The 23,837-nt window shown below is 47.1% G+C and overlaps 1 protein-coding gene across 14 annotated transcripts in view, besides 1 other annotated feature; it reads right to left on the reverse strand.

Moving 5' to 3' along the window:
• The window catches only part of PTPRN2 (protein tyrosine phosphatase receptor type N2), a 1,048,768-nt gene that overhangs the window by 635,373 nt on the left and 389,558 nt on the right, over nucleotides 1-23,837 (reverse strand). For all 14 annotated transcript variants that reach the window (XM_047420678.1, NM_130842.4, XM_047420679.1 and 11 more), the window contains one exon: nucleotides 17,899-18,067. In XM_047420678.1, the coding sequence (XP_047276634.1) occupies nucleotides 17,899-18,067 (169 nt within the window). The remainder of the gene's footprint in view (nucleotides 1-17,898; nucleotides 18,068-23,837) is intronic.
• Nucleotides 20,127-20,627: an enhancer, noted in NCBI's record as "H3K4me1 hESC enhancer chr7:157987247-157987747 (GRCh37/hg19 assembly coordinates)". NCBI's record gives its function as "activates a minimal SCP1, AML or CMV promoter by ChIP-STARR-seq in naive H9 embryonic stem cells {active_cell/tissue: H9 hESC(naive)}" and the evidence as "EXISTENCE:reporter gene assay evidence [ECO:0000049][PMID:30033119]".

Here is a 23,837-nt window from a genome sequence, read left to right on the forward strand (position 1 = left end):
CACCATCAACATGATCCCTGCCATCATCACCTCAACCATCAGCTTCCCACCATCATCATCATCAGCAGCAGCAGCACCATCATCATCCACACCATCCACAGCAGCATCCACACCATCAGTGTCACCCCCGCCATCAGCATCATCAAACCCCTACTGCTGCTGTGTGCCAAGCCCTGGACTTCTATGAAGGAAGAATAACTCAGATGTGGCCCTGTCCTCAAACATCTTGCAGACTGAACTAGGAGTTGAGTCATAGACATTAACAACCGTAATTGAAAGAATGCTATTAGAAAGGGTCAGAAAAGCAATCCTGGTTTTGGAAGAATGTGATTCTCTTCAGCTGGAGGAAATCAGAGCTGCTTCCTGGAGCCAGCTGATGCAGTTCACAGAGCCACGCCCTGCACCATACCCCTCACCTGTCAAACAGTGACACTGCTGAGGAAGTGACTCTCCTCGCTCCCAACTTTACTGGGGCCGGGAGTACCAGAGCTAAAAATCAGGCCTCTTCCTTTGACAAACATGCCTCTCCTGGAGATCCACCCAGCCCAGTCCCAAAGGCACAATTATGAGTTCAGGCTGACAGGAAGGCCTGGAGGTCCGGGGAGTCCCACATGCCGGGAGACTCTGGGTGGAGGAGACTCCTGTGTGTGCACTGGTCTCTGCCCATGCTCATCAGCTATTCTCCTGCACCGAGGATCCAAAACAAATTAGGAAGCCCAAGTTGGGACATCTTTTGACCACATAACACACGTTTTCTCCCTGTCTCACTGCCCGCCGGCAGCACTGACAGGCACCTTGATCACGGCGTGCTTGCTGCCAGCCTGACAAAGCACACAGCCTCAGTGCTATTCACAGGCTTCCTAATGAGCCGGCACCGGATGCGGCCAGGTTTGGGAGCTGAGGTGGGAACGCTGCAGCTCCGGCTCCGGCTCGTGAATGTGGGGTTGGGATGACTTCACTGTGCCTTTCTGTCTCGGGCCTTAGAGAGGTGATTCTGGCAGCTCATTTATTTTCTCTGTCTCTCTCTGTGTCTCTGTCTCTCTGTGTATCTCTGCCTCTGTCTCTGTCTTAACACAGTAGAAAGTGTCAGTGTTTAACAGTGCTCAGGCTCTAAGTGGCCCACTCGTGTGGAGGGGAAATAATTGTGGTGTCATTCTTACCAACAGTGCTGTCGCCAAGACAAAATAACTTTTTTGCATTCAGGGAAGCAGGGGGGTCTCACACGAGCGTATACGGTGCTATCTCTGCAGCCAAGGTATAGAGCTCTCAGACTGAAAAATAAGACCCCAAACAGTTTTCAGAGTTCACAAAATCTATGAGGTTGAAGAGGTTAAGTCCTAAACTACTTGGGATCAACAAATTTGTAGCGAGTTGACAGTATCACGGGGTGCCAATGTGAACTCCTGGATATCTGCTAATGATGATGCATTCTGAGAGTCTGGAATTATCTGAAGACTCGTGACACCATGAGGCCAGTGCTGCTCTCAGTCTGCCCTGCTCAAGACTCGCGACACCGTGAGGCCAGTGCTGATCTCACCCCGCCCTGCTGAGACTCACGACATCGTGAGGCCAGTGCTGCTCTCAGCCCGCCCTGCTCCGAGACTCGCAATGCCGTGAGGCCAGCACTGCTCTCAGCCCACCCTACTTTGCCCGCCACTCTTCCTTCTGTCACTCTTCTGGCTCCTGTTTGCGTTTTGGCCTTTCCAGAAGCTGCACCCAAAAGCCTCCTACCTGGCAAGTGAAAAGCACAGGGCATGATTAAAGCAGCGAGTTCCAATCCATGTCCCGTCCACCTTGGCCTGGGGTTAGAGGTCAGTTGGCTCATAACCACCCAGAAGATGGAGGGACAGTCATCGCCACGGGGCTCTTATTCACTGAGTGCTACACCAGGCTGTTTTCGGCTTTACATGCCTTAATTTTCTCTAACCCTTTCAATGACTCGATGGTACAGACATGATTACCCACATTTTGCAAATGAGGAAAGAAGATCCTGCAGTGAGGAAAGGGCAGAGCTAAGATGCAGCCCTTCTCCCTAGGCTGTGTATGTCTGTCGAGTGACAGACACCAAACACGCCGAGTGAACAGAGGAACCGTAAGCAGGTCGGCTTCCATGGAGCACAGGTCTGGGTGTGGAGGGACTGCTAGTGCAGGGTGGGTGGTAGCTGTCACTGTGAGTGTTCAGTGGAGGGCAGGGACAGGACTGTCTGGGAGGAAACCAGGGGAGACAGTCAGGATGACGGTGGCCAGCATGCATCAACCTGCTCTGCCTCAGATGCTACTGTGTATGCTGGGAGCAGAACACCATGCCCTGGGGCCAATTTTCCACCAGAGCTCCGCTTCCCACCAAAGGTCATAAGAACAATCACATGAGGGGGCAAACTTTTAAAAAACTCAAATGGACATCGTGAATGTGGCATCCAACATGTGGAGGCCACGGTCCTCATCGCTGTGTGCCTCCACACCTGCTCCTCCAGGTGGCATGGCTAAGCAGAGGGCTGTGAGGGAAGCTGTGCTATCTCTGCACAATCTCTCTAGGTGGCCCTCCTCCAGAAACAGGGATAGGGGAAGGTGGGCTTGTTGACCACATCTGGGTGGTGACAGTTTGGGGCTGTTCTGGATAGAGCCACTGTGGGCAGTCATGGGCCAGCTTTCCTGTGAATGCAGGCGTCCCTCCTCTTGGATAGACATCCAGAGGGGAACTGCTGAGTCCAAGGACAGACGTATCTTTAGCCTTTAAGCAGCTTCCAAATACAGGTTATAACAGCTTGCATTGCATTCCCCCTAATTTGAGAATTTCTATGTCCTCATCAAGAGTTGGTTTTATGGATTTTTTTTTAATTTTAGCCAATCTAGTGACATGAAGTGGTTGTTCTTTATGGTTTTGTGAATAAGGATGCTAAGCACCTTTGATGCCTTCATTGGCCATTTGTATATCTTTTTATGAAGTATCCGTTCAAAGTTTTTATACATTTTTGCATGGGATTGCTTGCCTCTTTTCCCTTTGGAGCACTACTGAGATATAATTGACATACAATAAACAGTACAGGAGGCATGACAATGAACACGTCCGTCACCCTGAATACATTCCGGTGCCCCTGGAGACACTGCCCTCTCCCATCCCTGTCCACAGCTCCAGGCAATCCCGACCAGCTTTCTGTCCCTTATAACCCAGTTTGCATTTTCTACAGCTTTCCAAACTGGAATTATAACAATAGCTCCTCTTTTGTCTTTTGGTCAACAGAAATGAGACTCACTGTGCTGTTTCATGCATCAACAGCTCACTCCAGTTTATTACTGAGTAGCATTCCATTTTGTGGATCAAACAAAATTTCTTTGTCCATTTCTGATAGACATTTGGGTTTTTTCAGTTGTGGGCATTTACTATGAAAGCTACCATGAAGATACGTGTGTAAATCTTTGAATGCACACATGCTTTCGTTTGTCTTGAGTAGAAGTGGGATGGAGGGATCACAGGCAAGTAAACATTTCACTTTTGAAGAAACTGTCAAGACGTTTTCCAAATCGTTGTTAATGTTTTACATTTCCACTGGTGGCATATGAGAGGTCCAGCTCCTCCACCTCCTTGCCAATACATAGGATGGTCAGTTTGTATTTTGTTTTTTTAAATTTTAGCCATTCTTATAGGTTTGTAGTGGTATTTCACTGTGATTTCAATTTTCATTTCCATAATGAGGAATGATACTGAATATTTCACATTAAATTGTCACTCATTTATCCTCTTTGGTGAAGTGTTTATTCAAATCTTTTGCCCATTTTTTAAATTTCAAAAGCTTTTGGGGTACGCATGGTTTGGGTCACATGTATGAATTTAATAGTGGTGAAGTCTCAGATATTAATGCACCCATCATCCAAGTAATGCACATTGTACCCAATATGTAGGTTTTTTTATCCCTCTCCCCTCTCACCCTCCCGCTTCTGAGTCTCCAAAGTCCATTAGATCACTCTGTCTGCCTTTGCATACCCATAGCTTGGCTCCCACTTATAAGTCAGAACATAAGGTAATCGATTTTCCTTTCCTGAGTTACTTCACTTAGAATAATGGCTTCCAGCTCCATCTAAGTGGCTGCAAGAGACATTATTACATTCTTTTTCGTGGCTGAGTAGTATTCCATGGTGTATATATATACTACATTTTCTTTCTTTTTTTTTTTTTTTTTTTTTTTTTTTAAGATGGAGTCTTGCTCTGTTGCCAGGCTGGAGTGCAGTGGCACAATCTCAGCTCACTGCAACCTCCAACTCCCAAGTTCAAGTGATTCTCCTCCTTCAGCCTCCCAAGTAGCTGGGACTACAGGCACCCGCCACCACGCCTGGCTAATTTTTTGTATTTTTAGTAGAGACGAGGTTTCATCATGTTGGCCAGGATGGTCTCAATCTCTTGAGGTCATGATCCACCTGCCTCGGCCGCCCAAAGTGCTATGATTATAGGCGTGAGCCACTGCACCTTTAGCCACTCATCAGTCAATGGGCACTTAGACTGGTTCCATATCTTTGCAATTGTGAATTGTGCTGCAATAAACATATATCTACAGGTGCCTTTTTGATATATTGATTTCTTTTCCTTTGGATACTCAGTAGTGAGATTGCTGGATCAAAAGGGTAGATCAACTTTTAGTTCTTTATGAAATCTCCATTCTGTTTTCCATAGATGTTGTACTAATTTACATTCCCACCTGCAGTGGATAAGTGTTCCCTTTTCACCACAGTCATACCAACATCTATTGTTTTGTGACTTTTTAATAATAGTCATTCTTGCAGGAGTATGGTGGTATCTCATTGTGGTTTTAATTTGCATTTCCTTGATGATTAGTGATGTTGAGCATTTTTTTCATATGTTGTTGCCCATTTGAATATCTTCTTTTAAGAAATGTCTGTTCACGTCATTTGTCCACTTTTTAATGGGATTTTTTTTTCTTGCTAAATTGTTTGAGTTCCTTGTAGATTCTGGATGTTGGTCCTTTGTCAGATGCATAGTTTGCAAATATTTTCTCCCATTCTGTGGGTTTTCTGATAATTTCTTTTGCTATATGAAGCTTTTCAGTTTAATTAGGTCCAATTTATTTTTGTTTTAGTTGCATTTGCTTTTGGGGTCTTACCCATGAACTCTTTGCCAAGGCCAATGTCCAGAAGATTTTTTCCTACTTAATCTTCTAGAAGTTTTATGGTTTCAGGTCTTAGATTTAAGTTGTTGATCCATCTTGAGTTGATTTTTGTATAAGGTAAGAGATAATGAGGTAGGAGGCAGGACTCAACTTCAGAGGCCGGGCTGGGTTACTGAACCAAATTGAGGACTAGTTAAAACAGGGCCAAGGTGGAAGCAGGTTTCCATAAGTCTCACCCACCAATATGCCATGTCAGTTTACACTTGCCATGACAACACCAAGGAGTAACTGCCCCTTTCCATGGCAATGACCTGATGACCCAAAAGTTACTACCCCTTCCCTAGATATTTCTGCATAAACCACTCTTAACCCTCATGTAATTAAAAGTAGCTATAAATATGACTGCAAAGCTTCCCTGAGCTGCTACTCTCTGCCTATGGGGTAGCCTGGCTCTGCAGGAGCAGTCACAGAGCTAAAACACTGCCAGAGTTGTAACACTGCCTTTTCAATAAGGTTGCTTTCTTTTATCTCCAGCTTGCCCTTGAATTCTTTCCTGGGCAAAGCCAAGAACCCTGGTGGGCTAAGCCCCACTTTGGGGCTCCTTACCCTGCATCAATAGAGATCCAGTTTCATTCTTCTACATGTGGCTATCCAGTTTTACCAAAACCATTTATCAAACAGGTGTCCTTTCCCCAGTTTATGGTTTTCTATGCTTTTTCAAAGATCAGTTGGTTGTAAGTGTTTGGGTTTATTTCTGGGTTCTTTATTCTGTTCCATTGGTCTATGTGCCTACTCTTCTACCAGTACCATGCTGTTTTGGTAACTCTAGCCTTGTAGTATAGTTTGGAGTCAGGTAATGTGATGCCTCCAGATCTGTTCTTTTTGTTTAGGATTGCTTTTGCTATTTGGGCTATTTTTTGGTGCTATATGAAAATAATGTTGGTATTTTGATAGGAATTTCATTAAATCTGTAGATTGCTTTGGGCAGTGTGGGCATTTTCATGAAATTCTTCCAATCCATAAGCATGGGATGTGTTTCCATTTGTTTGTGTCATCTACAGTGTATTTCAGCAGTGTCTTGTAGTTCTCTGTATAGAGATCTTTCACCTCCTTGGTTAAGTATATTGATAGGTATTTTATTTATTTTCTGAAGCCCTCGTACAGGGGATTGAGTTCTTGATTTGATTCTCAGCTTGGTCATTGTTGGTATATAGCACTGCTACTGATTTGTGTACATTGATTTTGTAACCTGAGACTTTCCTGAATTCGTTTATGAAATCTAGGAGTCTTTTGGAGGAGTCTTTAGGGTTTTGTAGGTATATCATATCATTGGCAAACAGCAATAGTTTGACTTCCTCTTTTCCATTTTGGATGCCCTTTATTTCCTTCTGTTTTCTGACTGCTCTGGCTAGGACTTCCAGTACTATGTTGAATAGAAGTGGTGAGAGTGGGCATCCTTGTCTTCTTTCAGTTCGCAGGGGGGATGCTTTCAACTTTTCCCCATTCCATATAATGTTGGTTGTGGGTTTATCATATATGGCTTTTATTATTTTGAGGTAAGTCCCTTCTGTGCCGAGTTTGTTGAGAGTTTTTATCATGAAGTGATGCTGGGTTTTATTGAATGCTTTTCCTGCATCTATTGAGATAATCGTATGGTGTTTGTTTTTAACTGTTTATGTGACGTATCACATTTACTGACTTGCATGTGTTAAACCATCCCTGCATCCCTGGGATGAAACCCACTTGATCATGGTTTATTATCTTTTTGATGTGCTGTTGGGTTCAGTCAGCTAGTATTTCGTAGAGGGTTTTTGCCTCTATGTTCATCAGGGATATTGGTCTATAGTTTGCTTTTGTTCATTATTTTATCCCTGATTTTAGTGTCAGAGTGATACTGGCTTCATAGAATTAGTTAGGGAGGATTCTCTCTGCCCTGATCCTTTGGAATAGTTTCAGTAGAATTGGTACCAATTCTTTGAGTGTCTGGTATAATTCAGCTGTGAATCCATCTGGTCCTGGGCTTTTTTTGTTATGGGCAATTTTTAAGTTACTGATTCAATCTCACTGCTTGTTATTAGTCTGTTCAGGGTTTTTATTCCTTCCTAATTTAATCTAGGAGGGTTGTATGCTTGCAGGAATATATTCGTGTATTCATTTCTTCTAGATTTTCTAGTTTGTATGCATAGAAGTGTTCATAATAGTCGTGAATAATCTTTTGTATTTCTGTGGTATAGTTGAGCTTATTTTAATCTTCACTCTTCATTTCTTGATTAATCTAGCTAATGGTCCATCAATTTTGTTTATATTTTCAAAAAACCAATTTTTTGTTTCATCTTTTGTATTTGTTTCTTTCCTTCAAATTGATTTAGCTCTGTTCTGATCTTTGTTATTTTCTTCTTCCAGCTTTGGGTTTAGTTTGTTCATATTTCTCTAGTTACTTGATGTGTGACATTAGGTTGTCACTTTGGGCTCTTTCAGACTTTCTGATATAGGCATTTAGCACAGTGAACTTTCCTCTTAGCATTGCTTTTGCCATATCCCAGAGGTTTTGATAACTTGTGTCACTATTATCATTCATTTCAAAGAATTTGTAAACTTCCATCTTGATTTTACTGTTAACCCAAAAATCATTGAGGAGCATATTTTTTTATTTCCATGTATTTGTGTAGTTTAAAAAATTCCTTTTGGAGTGGATTTCTAGTTTTATTCCACTGTGGTCTGAGAAGATACTTGATATAATTTTAATTTTAAAAAATTTATTGAGACTTGTTTTGTAGCCTAGTATACAGTCTTTTTTTGTTTCATTACTTTTTCTTCTAAAAAGACGGGATACACGTGCAGAACATGCAGGTTTGTTACCTATGTATATGTGTGCCATGGTGGTTTGCTGCACCTATTGACTTGTCCTCTAATTTCCCTCCACTCTCCCCCCAACCCTCAGCAGGCCCTGGTGTGTGTTGTTCCCCTCCTTGTGTCCATGTGTTCTCACTGTTCAACTACCACTTATATGTGAGAACATGCAGTGTTTGATTTTCTGTTCCTGTGTTAGTTTGTTGAGGATGATGGCTTCTAGCTTCATCCATGTCCCTCCAAGGGACATGATCTCATTCCTTTTTATGGCTGCATAGTATTCCATGGTGTATATGTACCACATTTTCTTCATCTACTCTATTTTGGAGAATGTTCCATGTGCTCATGAGGAGAATGTATATTCTGCAGTTCTTGATTAGAATGTTATGTAAATATCTGTTAGATCCATTTGTTCTAGAGTGTAGACTAAGTCCATTGTTTCCTTGTTGACTTTCTGTCTCAATGATCTGTCCTGTACTGTCAGTGAAGTATTGAGGTCCCCCAGTGTTGGCATGTTGCTGCCTATCTCACTTCTCACATCTAGCAGTAATTATTTTATGAATCTGAGAGCTCCAGCATTTGGTGCATATAAATTTAGAATTGTAATATCTTCTTGTTGGATTGGCCCTTTTATCATCATTTAATGACCTTCTTTGTCTCTTTTTACTGTTGTTGCTTTAAAGTCTGTTTTATCTGATATTAGAATGCTCCTGCTCACTTTTGGTTTCCATTTGCATGGAATATATTTTACTACCCCTTTACCTTAACTTTATATGCATCTTTATGTGTTAGGTGACTATGTTGAGATAGCAGATATTTGGTTTGTGTCTTTTTATCCATTCTACCAATCTGTTATCTTTTAAATGGAGGATTTAGGCCATTTACATTCAACACTAATATTGAGATGTGAGATATTGTCCCAATCATCATGGAGACAGGAAGTGTGGCTTTCAGACCACATCTATCCCAGTCCAGCAGCAAAGCCAGGCTCCCAGATCCTGTGTTTGTGGCTGCAGCGTGCTTCCCACTCCCCCCTGGGTTATGGCCAAGGGAGTTTGTCCCCACTCAAGATTAGATTGCAAATTTCAGTTGGGAGCTTCTCTCAACCCGTGGCCACTGACTGAGTTGGTTGGCAGACTTCCGCAAGGTCCCCTGTGAGGCAGAATGGCTTCCCCAATCCATGCTGGAGACTGGGAATGCACACAGGGCTCTTTCTACTGCTTCTCCTACTTTATATTCTCCACTGCTCCCTAAATCAGTTCCAGGACTTGGTAGGGTTAAGGTCCCGCCCCCATGGGCTGAATTCTCCAGTGGGGGTGCATATCTTGGAGGCAGTGTCTCCCCCTCACACTGTGGGGCTTACAGTTCTTTGCTTGGCTCACAGTGTAGGCTGCAGCCTGCCACTTCTTTCAAAGGTTCTGTGGTTTCTTTTAGTTTTCCTGTCAAGTTCTGGTGTCGCTTCTTGGAAAAAAGTTCACAGTGTGAATCTTTACACACTATTTTGTCTTTCCAAGTGGGAGAGGCATGCTAACACCGCTTCTAATCCACTGTCTTGAAAAAAAATGCCCATTTTTAATGTGCTGCTTTTTTAGTTTTTAGAGATTTTTATACATTCTGAAATTTTTTATCTTAAAAAGTGCTATTTGCAAGTATTTTTCTAAGTATGTGGCTTGTCTTTTCAATCTTTTGTGTGTCTTTCGAAGAAGTGTCTTCTTTTGAAGAAGAAAATTTTTAAATTTTGACAAAGTTCTAGTTATCAATTTTTTTTAAGGATTGTGTTTTTGTATCATATTGATACCAATTTGGAGGTAATTTCTACCTTAACACTATTGAGTCTTTAGACACATGACCATGTATATATCACCATTAATTTGTCTTATTGTTCTCATCAATGTATTGTAGTTTTCATTGTACATTGTCTTACACATATTTTAGATTCAACCTCAATTATTTCATAATTTTTGATGCTACTATATTTTTTAAAATTCATATTTAATTGTTGCTAGTATACAGAAATAAATTAATTTTTGTGTGCTGACTTTGCACTCTACAGCATTGCTATATTTACTAGTTTTAGTAGCTTTTCTGTAGGTTCCACCAAATTTTTGACAAAGGTTATGTAATCTGAATGCCTCTCATTTCTTCTTGTTTTATTGCACTGGCTAAGATCTTCAATGTGACAGGCAGTGGATCACCTGAGGTCAGGAGTTCAAGACCAGCCTGGCCAACATGGTGAAACCTAGTCTCTACTGAAAATGCAAAAATTAGCCGGGCATGGTGGTGGGTGCCTATAATCCCAGCTACTCGGGAGGCTGAGGTAGGAGCATCACTTGAACCCAGGAGGCAGAGGGTTGCAGTGAGCCAAGATTGTGCCACTGCACTCCAGCCTGGGCAAGAAGAATGAACTTCCGTCTCAAAAGAAAAAAAAAAGATCTTCAATGCAGTGTTGAATTGAAGAGGTAAGAGCAGACATCCTCGTCTAATGCCAGATTTTAAGTGGAAAGCATTCAGCCCTTCACCAGTTGATGTAATCTTAGATGTAGGTTTCCGTCATGGATGGATGGATGCTGGGTTTTGCCAAATGCTTTTTCCAGTATCTACTGAGACCATCACATGGTCTATGTAACTATGGTGAGTTATGTTGGTTGATGTTTAAATGTTCGATATACCCTGCATATCTGGGATAAATCTGCCTTGATTATGATGCAGTATTCTTTTTTATATATTGTTGAATTTAATTTGATAAAAATTGTTTAGAATTTTTGTTTCTATATTTCTGAAGAATAATAATCTGCAGTTTTCTTTTAAAATCTTTCTCTGTATGATTTTGATCTGTTGACATTTATTGAGACTTATTTTATGGCCCAGCATTTGATCTAGTTTGGGAAATATTCTATATAACATACTCAAAAAGAATGTGTGTTTAGCAGTTTTTAGGTGTATCATTCTATAAACATCACTTAGCTTAGACTGGTTAATGCTGTGGTTCAAATCTTCTCTATCCTTACTGATACTTTATCTATTTGTTTAATCAGTTACTGACAGAGGAGAGTTTCAATCATTAATGATCATGATCGACCTGTATGTTCCTCTCTTTAGTACTCTCATATATTTCCTTTATGTATTTGAAGCTCTGAAATTGGTTCATAACATTTTTCTATAGCATCTTAATGAATTGACCATTTAGTCATCATAAAGTGTCTCTGTCATGAATAACACTTTTAGTCTTGAAGTCCACTCTGTCTAATATTAACATGACCACACCAGCTTTCCTGCCTTTCGAGTTTCCATCGTACACATTTTCCATCCTTTAGGTCTAAGTTGCCTTCTTCGCCCAGGCTTGGATCTGGGCTCCAGTGAGACTCGAGATCCCTTTATGCTCTGCACTCAGCCGCCAGGTTTCTGAACCATGGGGGAGCTCTCTGCTTTATGGTCCAAGTGTCAGTTTGTGAGTTTCTGAAGCTTCTCTTCCCCGTCGGTCCCACCCTGGCTTTCTGCACCCTTAGAAAGATTCAACAGATCTTTTTCCACCATGCTCCCTTGTCCCCAGTCTTCAGAAGGCCACATGGGGCACTCCATAGAGGCCTGGTGCTCCTTGGCAGGATTTCTCCCAGCCCTCTCCCTCCTCCATCCCTAGTGCCGCATCTCACATACTCAGCGAAAGCCCACAGGAAAGAGGCGGGGGTGCAGACACTCGCTTTGCACAGCCTGTCTCTCAAATCTGTTCCATGCACCTCAAGAGTTTCTTAAAATTTAGGCCGAATTCTCCCCACTTCCTGTGACTGGCTTCTGCTTCTTCCATTCCAATGCGCATGAAAGAAGCTGTGGTCTCCTCTCCTTGGAATGGGTTCATCCATCCCTTTCTGGAATGCAGTTCATCCTCTTTTCCTGTGTCCTCAGCTCTGGCAGATTTCTCCTGGGGCTCACTCGTGTTGTTGGGGTGGGAGGGGGATAGTCTCCTGGCAGATTTCTCCCGGGGGCTCACTCATGTGGTCGGGGTGGGAGGAGAATGGGCTCCTGACACTCTGCACCCTACGTCCATCGTACACCTGCAGGAGGTGTCTCCTGGTCGTCCCCCAAGGCCGTCCTCTTGGAAGCCCACCTGGGCCACCTACCCCCTCTGGCATGAGTACGCCTGGGCTCACCTGCCCCCTCCGTCAGAAGCCCGCCTGGGCCACCTGCCCCCTCTGGCATGAACGCACCTGGGCCCACCTGCCCCCTCTGTCAGAAGCCCGCCTGGGCCACCTGCCCCCTCTGGCATGAGCGCGCCTGGGCCTACCTGCCCCCTCTGTCAGAAGCCCGCCTGGGCCACCTGCCCCCTCTGGCATGAGTGCACCTTTACTTTCTGTGTTCCCTCCATCACAGCACTTGCTTTAATTTTTTAATTATATTTTTTGCTTGCTTGTTTTCTCCCTCCTACCCAGCAAAACTGTAAAATCCTAAAGGACAGAAACTAACTTTCCTTAATCATTTCCTTAATCTAGCACCATTTCTTGTATGTTAAATATGTTTTTTAAACATTTCCAAGATAAATCAGCTAGTTAATGGTATTGGTAAGTAATGAATTTCTGACTAAACCTCCTCAGTAACAGAGTGGACAGGGAATTTATGGTGTTCTGCATGATGAGTTCAAGGACTGTGAACTGGTGCTACCACAGTCAATAAAACAGGAAGCGTTACCACCCTCACAATGCAGAAGTCGTAACGACACCTTGATTTAGTGATCAATAAGTGCTCAATTAGTGTTTAAACGAGGAGAAAGCTCTGAGTCATCTCGCTAATGAACAAAGAGAAAGAGCATGATTATATTCCCAGTGGAATAAAATAAAATAATTCTGTTATGACGTCACCAGCATGAAGGCCCTGAAAGGCAATATGTTTAGGATATTTCTCCATCTACGCTAGAGTTTCATTTTTGATGATGGGTACATAGAAAACAATGATTTATAAAATAATTCACAGGAAGTTGATTGTACCTTCAAAGATCGTCAGTATATAAAGCTTAAATTTCCAATTAAAATATTTCATCAGCTGAGAGGGGAGGGGAGAAGCCGGGGCCCAGATCTCTAAGTCCCTATATTTACGGGGCAGCAAAATCTGCACGGCAGCGCTGCAGCCTCTGGTCACGCACTTCCTGTGCTTATTCAGTCTTTGTTCATTAGCAAGATGACTAAGAGCTTTCTCCTCATTTAAACACTGGACAGAAAAGAAAATGAGTTCTGGGTTTTCATGCATTTTTTTAAATACTGAGAAGCATCTATCTTAACAAAGAAGAAAAATACCTAAGCCAAAATGCCACCAAGTGCTCATTTTCTGAATAACCGTTTGACAGCTGTGCTAAATGTCTGTGTGCTGGAATGACCACGGAGCTCATTAATTCAAACTGGGACACCTCCGAGTGGGAAAGAATGACTTCCTGATAATTATGCTGAGTAACAGTAGAGACCAGGACTGTGAGGCCGACCATCGTGTGTAGGAGATTCCAAGGTGACACAGCCAAACTTATCAGAAGGTGGACCCTGGCTGCTGGTGGAATATTTGACATGACCGGTGCCCACGCCCCTCTCCCATTCCTCTTTCTTGAAATGGAGAGCAGGCAAGATGGGGGCAGTGGTGGAAGATGCTCCTCCTCCATGCACCCAGCAGCCCTGGGGAGCGGCAGGGTCGCAACCCAAGAGATGAACCCCCAGTGGCCCCGTCACGAGCTCCCAACGGAAGGGATGTCCTAGTGCAGAGGCAGCCACCACGCTCGCCCCCTGTACTGGGAAGGCCGCCACGCTCGCCCCGCGATGGGGAAGGCCGCCACGCTCGCCGCCTGATGGGGAAGGCCGCCACGCTTGCCCCGCGATGGGGAAGGCCGCCACGCTCGCCCCCTGTATGGGGAAGGCCGCCACGCTCGCCCCCTGTATGGGGAAGGCCGCCACGCTCGCCCCCTGATGGGGAAGGCCGCCACGCTCGCCGCCTGATGGGGAAGGCCGCCACGCTCGCCCCGCGATGGGGAAGGCCGCCACGCTCGCCCCCTGATGGGGAAGGCCGCCACGCTCGCCCCCGATGGGGAAGGCCGCCACGCTCGCCGCCTGATGGGGAAGGCCGCCACGCTCGCCCCCTGATGGGGAAGGCCGCCACGCTCGCCGCCTGATGGGGAAGGCCGCCACGCTCGCCCCCTGTATGGGGAAGGCCGCCACGCTCGCCCCCTGATGGGGAAGCCCGCCACGCTCGCCCCCTGATGGGGAAGGCCGCCACGCTCGCCCCCTGATGGGGAAGGCCGCCACGCTCGCCCCCTGTACTGGAAAGGCCGCCACGCCCGCCCCCTGTAGGGGGAAGGCCGCCACGCTCGCCGCCTTGTATGGGGAAGGCCGCCACGCTCACCCGCTGTATGGGGAAGGCTGCTTCCAGAGCACTCCGGGGCGTGTGTTGAGAATGCTGGTGCTGGAATCCTAGTGCAGTAAGCCAGGAATGGAAAGACTTCAGTAAATACAACTGGTTAGTGTGACGAGGCCACGGGCCCTTTGGCCTAATGAGCACTGAGCTGCTGAGTCCAGCAGAACCACTGAGCACCTGGAAAGCATCCCAGGACATGCAGTACACTGTGCTCGGCCTAGGAAGGCATCCTGTCTCTGGCAGGAACTTGCTTTCCCCAGGGGCTGCTATGAGCCATCTCATGGGGCATCACTAGGATACCTCCCAATGGCTCATAGCACGAATTGCTCAATATCTACCAAAGACCTTCACTCTCAACGAGTTCCTGCAATTTGCTACGGTTTGTTTCTAATGTGTGGATGTTGCGGCTGCTTGGCCGACCTCACGTCTGGCTGCTGAGGGCAGGGAAGCACTGCAGCCATTCCATTTACCCTCGAGGCGAATCCATGCTGCGCCTTGTCCCACAGGCAAATTCCATTCTAACTCTGACTCTTTTATTTTAGTGCCAGGGCTATTTAATAAAATAACTGAAACCGAAGGAGGAGCATGATGATGGGTTCAAAATGGAACAACTGAGGCTCCCATTGAATGAAACCAAATGCTGTTTGCAGGTGACGACTCGCTCACTGGCCCATCCAAGGCACATTGGACGAGCCTCCAAGGCTACGCTCCTGCCTTTCTCTATTCAGTAGCCCGTGAAGAGGGCCCTTGGACGTCAGTCTAGGTGAGCACGCCACTGTCAAGTCAGGGGGGAAAGACAGGAAACTGCTTCACAGAAAAGTGTCAACTGATTTCCCTTCTCTCAAACTTCTTCCGAGTCTCTGAAACTTTTAATGACGCCTCCCCCTTCCCTCGTATGTTACTAAAACCATCTCTGGACTGCACGTGGGTTACTTTACTGATCATTCACTTCCAGCGTCTGGGGACGTGACGTCACGGCGCCGTTACAGAAGCCTGAAATCTCCCAGCAGCAGTGGAGGCAGAGCACAGGGCCCCACAGCCCTTCTGATAAAGACACAGCGGGGCAGAGGAGGAGGACAAAGCAATGATTTCAGAGCTGGAGGTGCTAAATTACCAACGTTCAAGAGGGTGGGAGAAATGCCAGTTTCCACCGTGCTGTGCTGAGACCTGCTCTGTGGTGCCGAGGCACAGGTGTGCGGAGGGAATATGTTTGCCAGTGTCCTGGCGCCCTCTGATTCCTCTCATCAGAGTCGGAGACCTCCACTGAGCCTGGTTCAGACTCTCAACCTAATTTCTATTTCATTTTTTAAAGATTATTTTATCAACGATAGTTACGGTTACAGCTATTGCTGACTGGGCACTCCATGAGGAGCTTCACACGTGGCTCTCATGACACCTCCAGGGCCACTACCCCTGGTTTACAGCTGAGGACTCGAGGCACAGAAGCTGAGCGGCTCCCCCTGGCCCCAGAGCAGTGGGTGGAGGAGCCTCTGACCCAAGGACAGAGCTGCATGAAATCCACCTTCTGCATCCACAAAATCCAGCAGGATGTCTGGCGCACCAGACGTGCTTAGTTGCTCTCAGTTAATGAATAAAAACTTTAAATTTAGCCTGTTTAAAATAGTGTTAAGTGGACCAGACCCTCTAGGGTTAGGCCCACACAGAGAGACTCCCACAGGCTCCTGGAAGGCTTTGGGGCATGTTTTTCAGGCCAGCCAGTGGTCCTGATGGGAGGTGGGCCTGGCACAGAGCAGGGCTGGGACTGGCCTTTCATTGTGAGCCTAACCTTAGAGGGAGACCTGGGGCCCACAGAGCCCTGTGACCCTGTACTTCCACGAGGGCTGAAGACCCCCACCCTCCACCATGAGGGGTGATTTCAACCAACCAGGAAACACAGTCCATGATCAGGAAAAACACAAATATGGCCCAGGTGCCACTGGGCCCTCCTGAGCAGCCTCTCAACTGTGGCCTGTGGGTCTGGCACCCCGTGGCCCCTGCATGGCTCTGGGCCAGCATCAGGGCTCTGTTTGGCGGCCGTGGACAGACTGGCTTCTGCATTCAAACGTCATTGTGACATCCTCCTGAAGAGGCAAGGCCACAGCAAAGATGGCTGCCCAGGAGCTGCCCTCGGAAAGGCTCCAGAGAACCATGGGGCCAAGGCCGGGCCTTCCCCAGGCACCACCTGCTAAGACACAGAAGTGCCTCAGCTTCCTCACCTGCCTGCACAGAACGTGCCACCTTGTGGGGCCAACTTCTGTGGAAACTCACCCTGTGGTTCCCACGCTTGGTGCAAGGTTCCAGGAAGCCCCTAAGCTGGCCTGGGATTGAGCTTAGTGGCCACGCGTCCTCTGGGAGGACTCTACCTTTCGAGGTCTGTGGGGGTTGCCCAGAGTTAACTTAAGTCATTTCAATGGCTCGATGGCAGGAACATAATAGAAACTGGGCCCACATTGCTTCCCACACATATCCCAGGGCCACAGCTCCTGGTGAGACCCCAGTGGAGTCCAAGAGGATGCAGAGGGTCCTCAGGCTTTCCTGTCTCACACCAGCATGGCTTCCATCTTAGAAAGGAAAGTGTGTCAAATTAGAGCTGATGTAACTAACGTTTGGCAGAAAAGGAGTGTGTGAGCGTCGCCATCAAACCCCCAATGTCCCCAGGGCCATCCTGGGCCTCAACACCTGGTCCAAAATCCTATCCCAGGAAGCTGGCAGGGCTGGGCTCCAAAGGTGATTTCTGCAGCTCTTGTCCCTCCCTCTTTCCAGGCAATGTGGGACCTGTGAACTCTGGCCTAACAAGTCGTCATAAAAATCATGCCTGCTTTTCCATTTACAAAATTTACTGAGATTCCTAATTCCGTGTCCTTAAGATGTTGAGTGGGCTTCGCATAGTGAAGGGTCTTGGGTGGCTCTGTGATGCGGGTCCTTGCAGCTCCCACTCGCCCTGCATAAACACTCCTGGGGTTCGCCTCCGAGCCTGTCTGGGGTCTGTGTGCCCAGGGCATCACCTTGTGTTTTGGTGCCCAGACCCTCATGCCCACAGGCAGATGGAGCCCTTACGCTGCCCTGGGCTGCCCCCGGGGCAGGCTTGCCGGGGAGCAGGAGCTTTCCTTGGATGCAGTAGTTGCACCTGGTGCCCCCTAATTCCAGCCATGTTCATGGCCCCTCAGTCTACCTCAGTCAGGTTTCAGTGTCCACTGCTGTCCCGGATCCTTTCTCAAAGGGTGAAGAGCAGCCACCTATCTCCTCTACCTCCCTGGTGTGCATCTGTGGTTTAAATGGTGGGCTTTCTGGAGTCACGACACCTTGTCCCAAGAAAGATCCTACAGAGCCTCACCCAGAGGACTAAGCATTTGTGGGGGTGGCTGGACTGGGAGCAGGTGTCGCTCTAAGGGGCCCCAGGAACACCGAAGCCCTGTTCACAGGATGCCCGCTGGCCCGGGAAACAGGCGCAAAGCCAAGAGGAGCCAGCGACTAAGGAAACATGCCCAGGTACCTGCACCCTGAAGGAAAAGCCAACCCCGGCCCGGGGAGGAAGTGGAAGGGTCACCTCAGCGGGGGGTCTGTCCTGCGCCGTATGGGTCCTGGCGAGCACGTCTGAGGCTGGGGCCTGGGACAGGGCCTCCAGGAAGGGCAGGTGGCGTCGGAGGGCGTTGGCCAGGGCAGCACCGCCCTCCCGACTGTACCTCCTCTCGCTGCCAACGCTGTGTTTTGAGGGCCTGAAAAAGCAAAAGAAACCAGACATCAACCGCATGTTTGCTGGTGCCTGGAGCTGCTCTGTCCCCTGTGGTGCCTGGGTGCATGCAAGGGGCTGGGAGCCGGGCTCTCGGTGGCCGGCCTGGCCTTGCTGCTCCATGACCATGGGTTTGAACTTCTCCCGGGCCCCCGAGCCTGTGTCCTGCACGAGGATGGCTAACAGCACCTGCCTCGTGGTTGTGGGGATGGACGATTGACCCCTGCTGAGAGCAGAAGACAGGAAGCAAAAGCAATACATGGGAAACAAGGGGAGGGGAGAAAGGGAGGAAGCTGCAGGTGTTGGCTGCAGGCTCAGCAGGAATTCTCCAGGAGGCTGAGGCAGCCAGAGGCCGGGTGGGCATGGGGGGCCCAAGGCTTGGCATGGCTTCTGCTGGGTTTGTGGGTAGACCAAGGAAGGTGGCGGCCCAGAAGCTGGAAAAGGCAGGAACCAGGTTCTCGCCTGATAAATGTGCATTGTTTTAGGCCTTAGGTTGATGTACTTCGCCACAGCCTCGGGACGTCCATGCAGTGCTCTCAGCCCCTCCGCTGCAGTCCCTGCTGTTAAACAGTGATTCACGCACCGCCATCGCGTGCACCATGCAGGGCAGGGACGCCGGAGGCTAGAAGGACAAACACATGGGACGCTTCCCGTGGGCAGACACATGTGGTGCCCACCCTGCTGAGGGCGGCAGGGGTAGGGCCAGCGAGGACAAGGCCAAGAACCAGGCACGGCTGGCCAGGGGCCCCATGGGACAGCTGCGTGCTGAAGGCATAAATCCAGGAGGCAGCTGGACGTGTCAGCCACATGTGGCCCCCACTAATGATGCTCAGAGTCCCTGAGAAAGCAGCCACTTGCCAGTGGGGCCCCCATCACCAGCTTGTGCAGCCACACGGAAAGGAAGAGCAGAACCAGGGAGATTCACTGGAAAAGTCGCGGTAACGCCCAACAGGCCCCGGAGAGACAGAGTCAGGACTCCCCATGTTTATGGGGAGCCCTGGTGGAGGCCTGGGCATGCACAGAGGATGTCCGTGGCCCCCTGAGCCTGCGCCCTGTCCCCCTTTACCCTCAGCTGTGGCGGAGAGCTTGCCTGAGCCACGGGGCAGCGTCTCAGCCTGGGACACGATGGGCATGGCCTCCCTAGGGATGGGCATGGCCCTCCCTGCCCAGCTCACCCGCAGACTCTGCCGCTGGTCTCTGCACCCAGGACTCAGCCGCCCAGAGCTTCACAGCCCCCACGGAGGCCTTTGCTTTTTTGCACATGACCAAAAGGGCCCAGAGCATGCTCCTAAATAAGGAAGATAATTCCCATAGGAGACGCCTCTACCAGCCAGGTTTAAGAACACCTGCGTGAGTGACTGCACCCCACCTCCACATTCCAGCAAGGCTCTGTCTCAAAAAAAAAAAAAAAAAAAAGGAATATAATGTGAGGCCGGCATGGGGGCTCGCAGCTATAATCCTGGCACTTTGGGAAGTGGAGGCAGGAGGGTCACTAGAGCCCAGGAACTTGAGGCTGCAGTAAGCTACGATAGCGCCGCTGTGCTCCAGCCTCAGGCAACAGAGGAAGACCCTGTTTCAACAACAACAAAAAAAGTGTGTGCACGCGCGCGCATGTGCGTGTGTGAGTTTGTGTAAGTGTGTGTGTGAGTGTGTGAGGGGTGTGAGTGCGTGTGTGCGTTTGTCTGTGTATGTGTGCGCCTGCACGCACACACCATGCTTCTAATAAAATGCAAAGATTTCGTAGACATGGAGTTTAGACACAGACCAAAGAGCTTTTAATTCTGGTTATTTTTAGTTTGTATAATTAATTGAGTGCGTCATTTATGTCCATAAAAGAACGGGCATCACCATTAAAAAGATGGGCCAGTCTGGGGGCCCTTGCTGTCCGGCTCTGCTGCCCACAGACAAGGGCAGGGCCCTCTGTGAACCTGCCGCCCTCAGCAATGCTCCCAAATCCCCTTCCCGCTGAGAGCCATGCTCAGCGATGACCAATCACTTCAGGTCCGACTTGTGCTGCAGTGGACGGTCCAGACGCCACAGGCCCCGGCGTCATGCCCCACTGCCAGCACAAGACTCAGGCCTCCCTCATAACAGGCTTTACAGGTGCGGTCAGCTGCCATCTGCTTCTCTCAGGCCAGGGAGAGGCTAGGTCCGAGGTGGAGGCAGGTACTTTCCTGAGCGCCCAGGCACTGGCTGCCTCAGAGCCCTGGGGCATGGCTCCACCTTCACCTTCTCAACATCTAAGTCTAGATCCTCGTTAGGGCAAGAAGCCCAAATTACAGATAGTGTATAACTGTCACGTTTAACTGACCACAGGTTGCCTCCAAGGGACATCACACCACTTAACATATGAAATACGAGCCTTAAATAGATCCTTGCAATTCTCCCTCCAGCTCTGATGCGGTGTTGACATGAATTCTGTTGACAGCTATGTTATCAACCTCACAATACACTTTCATCATTTTTGTTTAATCAACTTCTTTAAATGTGATTTAAGTGACAGGAAAACACCATCTATCGGTGGATGCAGTTGCCTTCGCGTGTTCTCTCATTGGTTTCCATCTGGCACCTTTCCCTTCTGCCAGAACGGCGGCTTTACCAGCCCTGGTCATGGAGCTCTGTGGGTGATGATGTCCTTCAGCGTCTGTATTTCTGAGAAAGCCAATAATTTTACCTTTGTATCTGAAGGATACTTCCATGGGATATGGAATTCTGGGTTGATGTTTGTTTGTTTGTTTTTCCTTTCAGTACTTTAAAAATGCTTTCCATCGTCTTCTGGCCTGGAGCATTCTCAAGGAGAAACCTGCAGTGGCCTTCATCATCTCATCTCTCTATGAAATGCACCTTTTTTTCCTCTGGCTGCTTTTAAGGTTGGCTTTTTATCACTGGTTTTGAGAAATTTTATTATGATATTTCTTAGTCTTCATGTTTCTTTTTTAGGGGGCTTATTGAGCTTTCTGGCTCTGTGAGTTTATCATTTTTATCATATTGAAACAATTTTCCTCATTATTTCTTCAAATGATTTTTCTGTTCCTGTCTCTCCCGCCTTGGGACTCCAGTTATACAGATATTTGGCCTTTAGATGTGTCCCATAGCTCACTGGTGTTTTTTATTTTTTTTTAATTATCCTTCCTTGTTTCCTTATGGATAGTTCCTATTGCTGTGTCTTCAAGTTCACTAATATTTTCTACCACAGTGTCTAATCTGCTATTCATTCCACCCATGAAATTTTCCTGTCTCCTACTTATTGTGTCTGTGTCAGTTCTGTGTCTACACTGATGAATTTTATGAGTTGCATTTTCCTGCTCCTTTTCATGCCAGATAATCCATGTCTATATATTCACATTGTGAATTTTACCTTATTGGGTGATGGACATTTGCAATCCCATAAATATTATTTACCTTTGCTCTGGCATTCAGTTAAGTTCCTTGGGACCAGTTCAACCCTCTCGGTTCTTACTTTTAAGTCTTGTTTGGCAGTATCAGAGCAGCAATTATCTATGACAAATTACTCCCCACTACTAAGACAGGACTCTGTGGGCATTCTACCCAATTATCTGGAAATTATGAGGTTTGCAAGTCTTGATAGGTTTGAAGAAGCACTATGTCGCACCCTGTGTGAATGTCAGATACTGTTTGCTCTCATTTTTTTGGATGGTTCTTTTCCCTCATAGACACAAGGTCATCAGTCATCTACCAAATCCTCAGCAGTGGCTGAAAATCTCCAGGGCTCTCTGTGCACTCTTCTCTTTTATACTCTGACCTGTGAACTCAAGCTGCCTTGGTTTCCCCAGACCTTCAGCTCTGTCTCATCAACTCTGGCAGGCCACTGAGCACCACTGTCCCTGAGGCAGCTGGGGGCAAGTGTCATCGCCACACAGCTGCGTCCCCTCCCAAAATGGCCCTCCACCATGGGGGTCTGCCTCACCCACGTTTATACCCCATCTAGGGAGGTCTGCATCCCACACTGGTCCCCAGCCCCTGAGGAGGGGTGAGGGCTCCTGAGGCCTCTGTCATGACCACACTGAGTCCAACCTCTCCTCGGCCAAACCCGTCTCTTCACTTCCCCATGAGGGGTCTTCCCAAGACCCTGCATTTGGACTTCAGGACTACAGAGTCTGCTGTCCAGACACCCAACCGAGATGTAGCTCCCCGGGCACCCCTGGGGCCCTGCCCACGGCTAGTGAGGATCTTGGGGGACTTCAATCCAGTGCCCCCGATGCCAGTGGAAAGGCGACTATAGATTTCTCCTTGAGAAGTGCTCCAGGCCAGAAGACGATGGAAAACATTTTTAAAGTAGTGAAAGAAAAAAAAGTAACCCAGAATTCTATATCCCATGAAAATATCCTTCAAATACAAAGGTAGACTTATGGCTCTCTTAGAAATACGACACTGAAGGACATCATCCCCAGCAGAGCTCCACAATGAGGGATATGAACAGCCCAGGCTCCCTAGGCAGGCACAGGAGGTAGATATGAGTCAAGGAGCACCTGTATACGTATATATGTATATACATGTATGTGTGTGTGTGTGCGTGTGCATGTGTATCTCCTTTCACAGAATTTGATGCTACATTCTGAACAAAATCGTATTCAGAAAAAGTCTGGGTATGTCTCCAAACACAGCACTGTGGCATCACCCAACAGCCTGAGGGAGGTGCAGCTCAGACTTTGCAGGTGCTGAGTGAGGCAGTATTACTTCAAATAGAACATACACTTTGCTAAGAACAATTTCCACTTCTGGGTATCAGCAAGAAGTGTCTTCTATCCAAACATGACCATCTGGTACTTGTATATGGGTCTTTAGTGTGATTTAGAAACACTTTAGGAAATACACTGGGGCTTGAGTGGATGTGGAACTCATTACAAATTTCCCACATACAGTAATGGAATAGGTTTCCAGGTACTGTTTCCATGTAGGATGTTGATTTTCAAGAACAGATCACTAACATTAGGTGTGTGATACCTGCATGGGGCTTATAAAAAAAATCCCATTTTTGCTTGATTATCTCAATTGATAAACCCACCATGTTTTTATTTCTAGTGCCTTTTTGTATTACTTTGTTCCCACACTGCTCATAAAGATATACCTGAGACTGGGTAATTTATAAAGGAGAGGTTTAATTGACTCAGTTCAGCATGGCTGGGGAGGTCTCAGGAAACGTAACAATCATGGCAGAAGGGGAAGCAAACACACCCTTCTTCACAAGGTGGCAGGAGAGAGAAGTGCAAGGAGCAAAGGGGAAAGAGTCCCTTATAAAACCATCAGATCTCGTGAAAACTCACTCACTATCATGAGAACAGCATGGAGACAGCCACCTCCATGATTCAATTACCTCCCACTGGGTCCCTCCCATGACACGTGCAGATTATGAGAACTACAATTCAAGATGAGATTTGGGTGGGGACACAGCCAAACAATATCACTTTTCAAGTTACACTGATACAGATGTAACAGGCATATAAATTACCAAGGCTTTTGCAGTTCTTTGCATCTCAAATCATGGCTATAATTTCCTTGGCCATTTTTTAATTAATGAAATTTCATGTTCTATGTTGTCAGAGTGTAATTTAACTGCAGTTAATTTACTTTTCTGGTATTTTGTCTACTTTTCTCACTAATTGCTAATCAATGCAAATGGAACCACCTCATAAATGTATCTTTAAATTGTCGTATTCATCTTTGCTTCGCCTCTGTCCATGCCTGGGGACTTGTTTGTGATGCTGCAGTATGTTACGGCAATGAGAGGGTTTATC

Source organism: Homo sapiens, chromosome 7 (genome assembly GCF_000001405.40).
Source record: "Homo sapiens chromosome 7, GRCh38.p14 Primary Assembly".
NCBI classification, from domain to species: domain Eukaryota; kingdom Metazoa; phylum Chordata; class Mammalia; order Primates; family Hominidae; genus Homo; species Homo sapiens.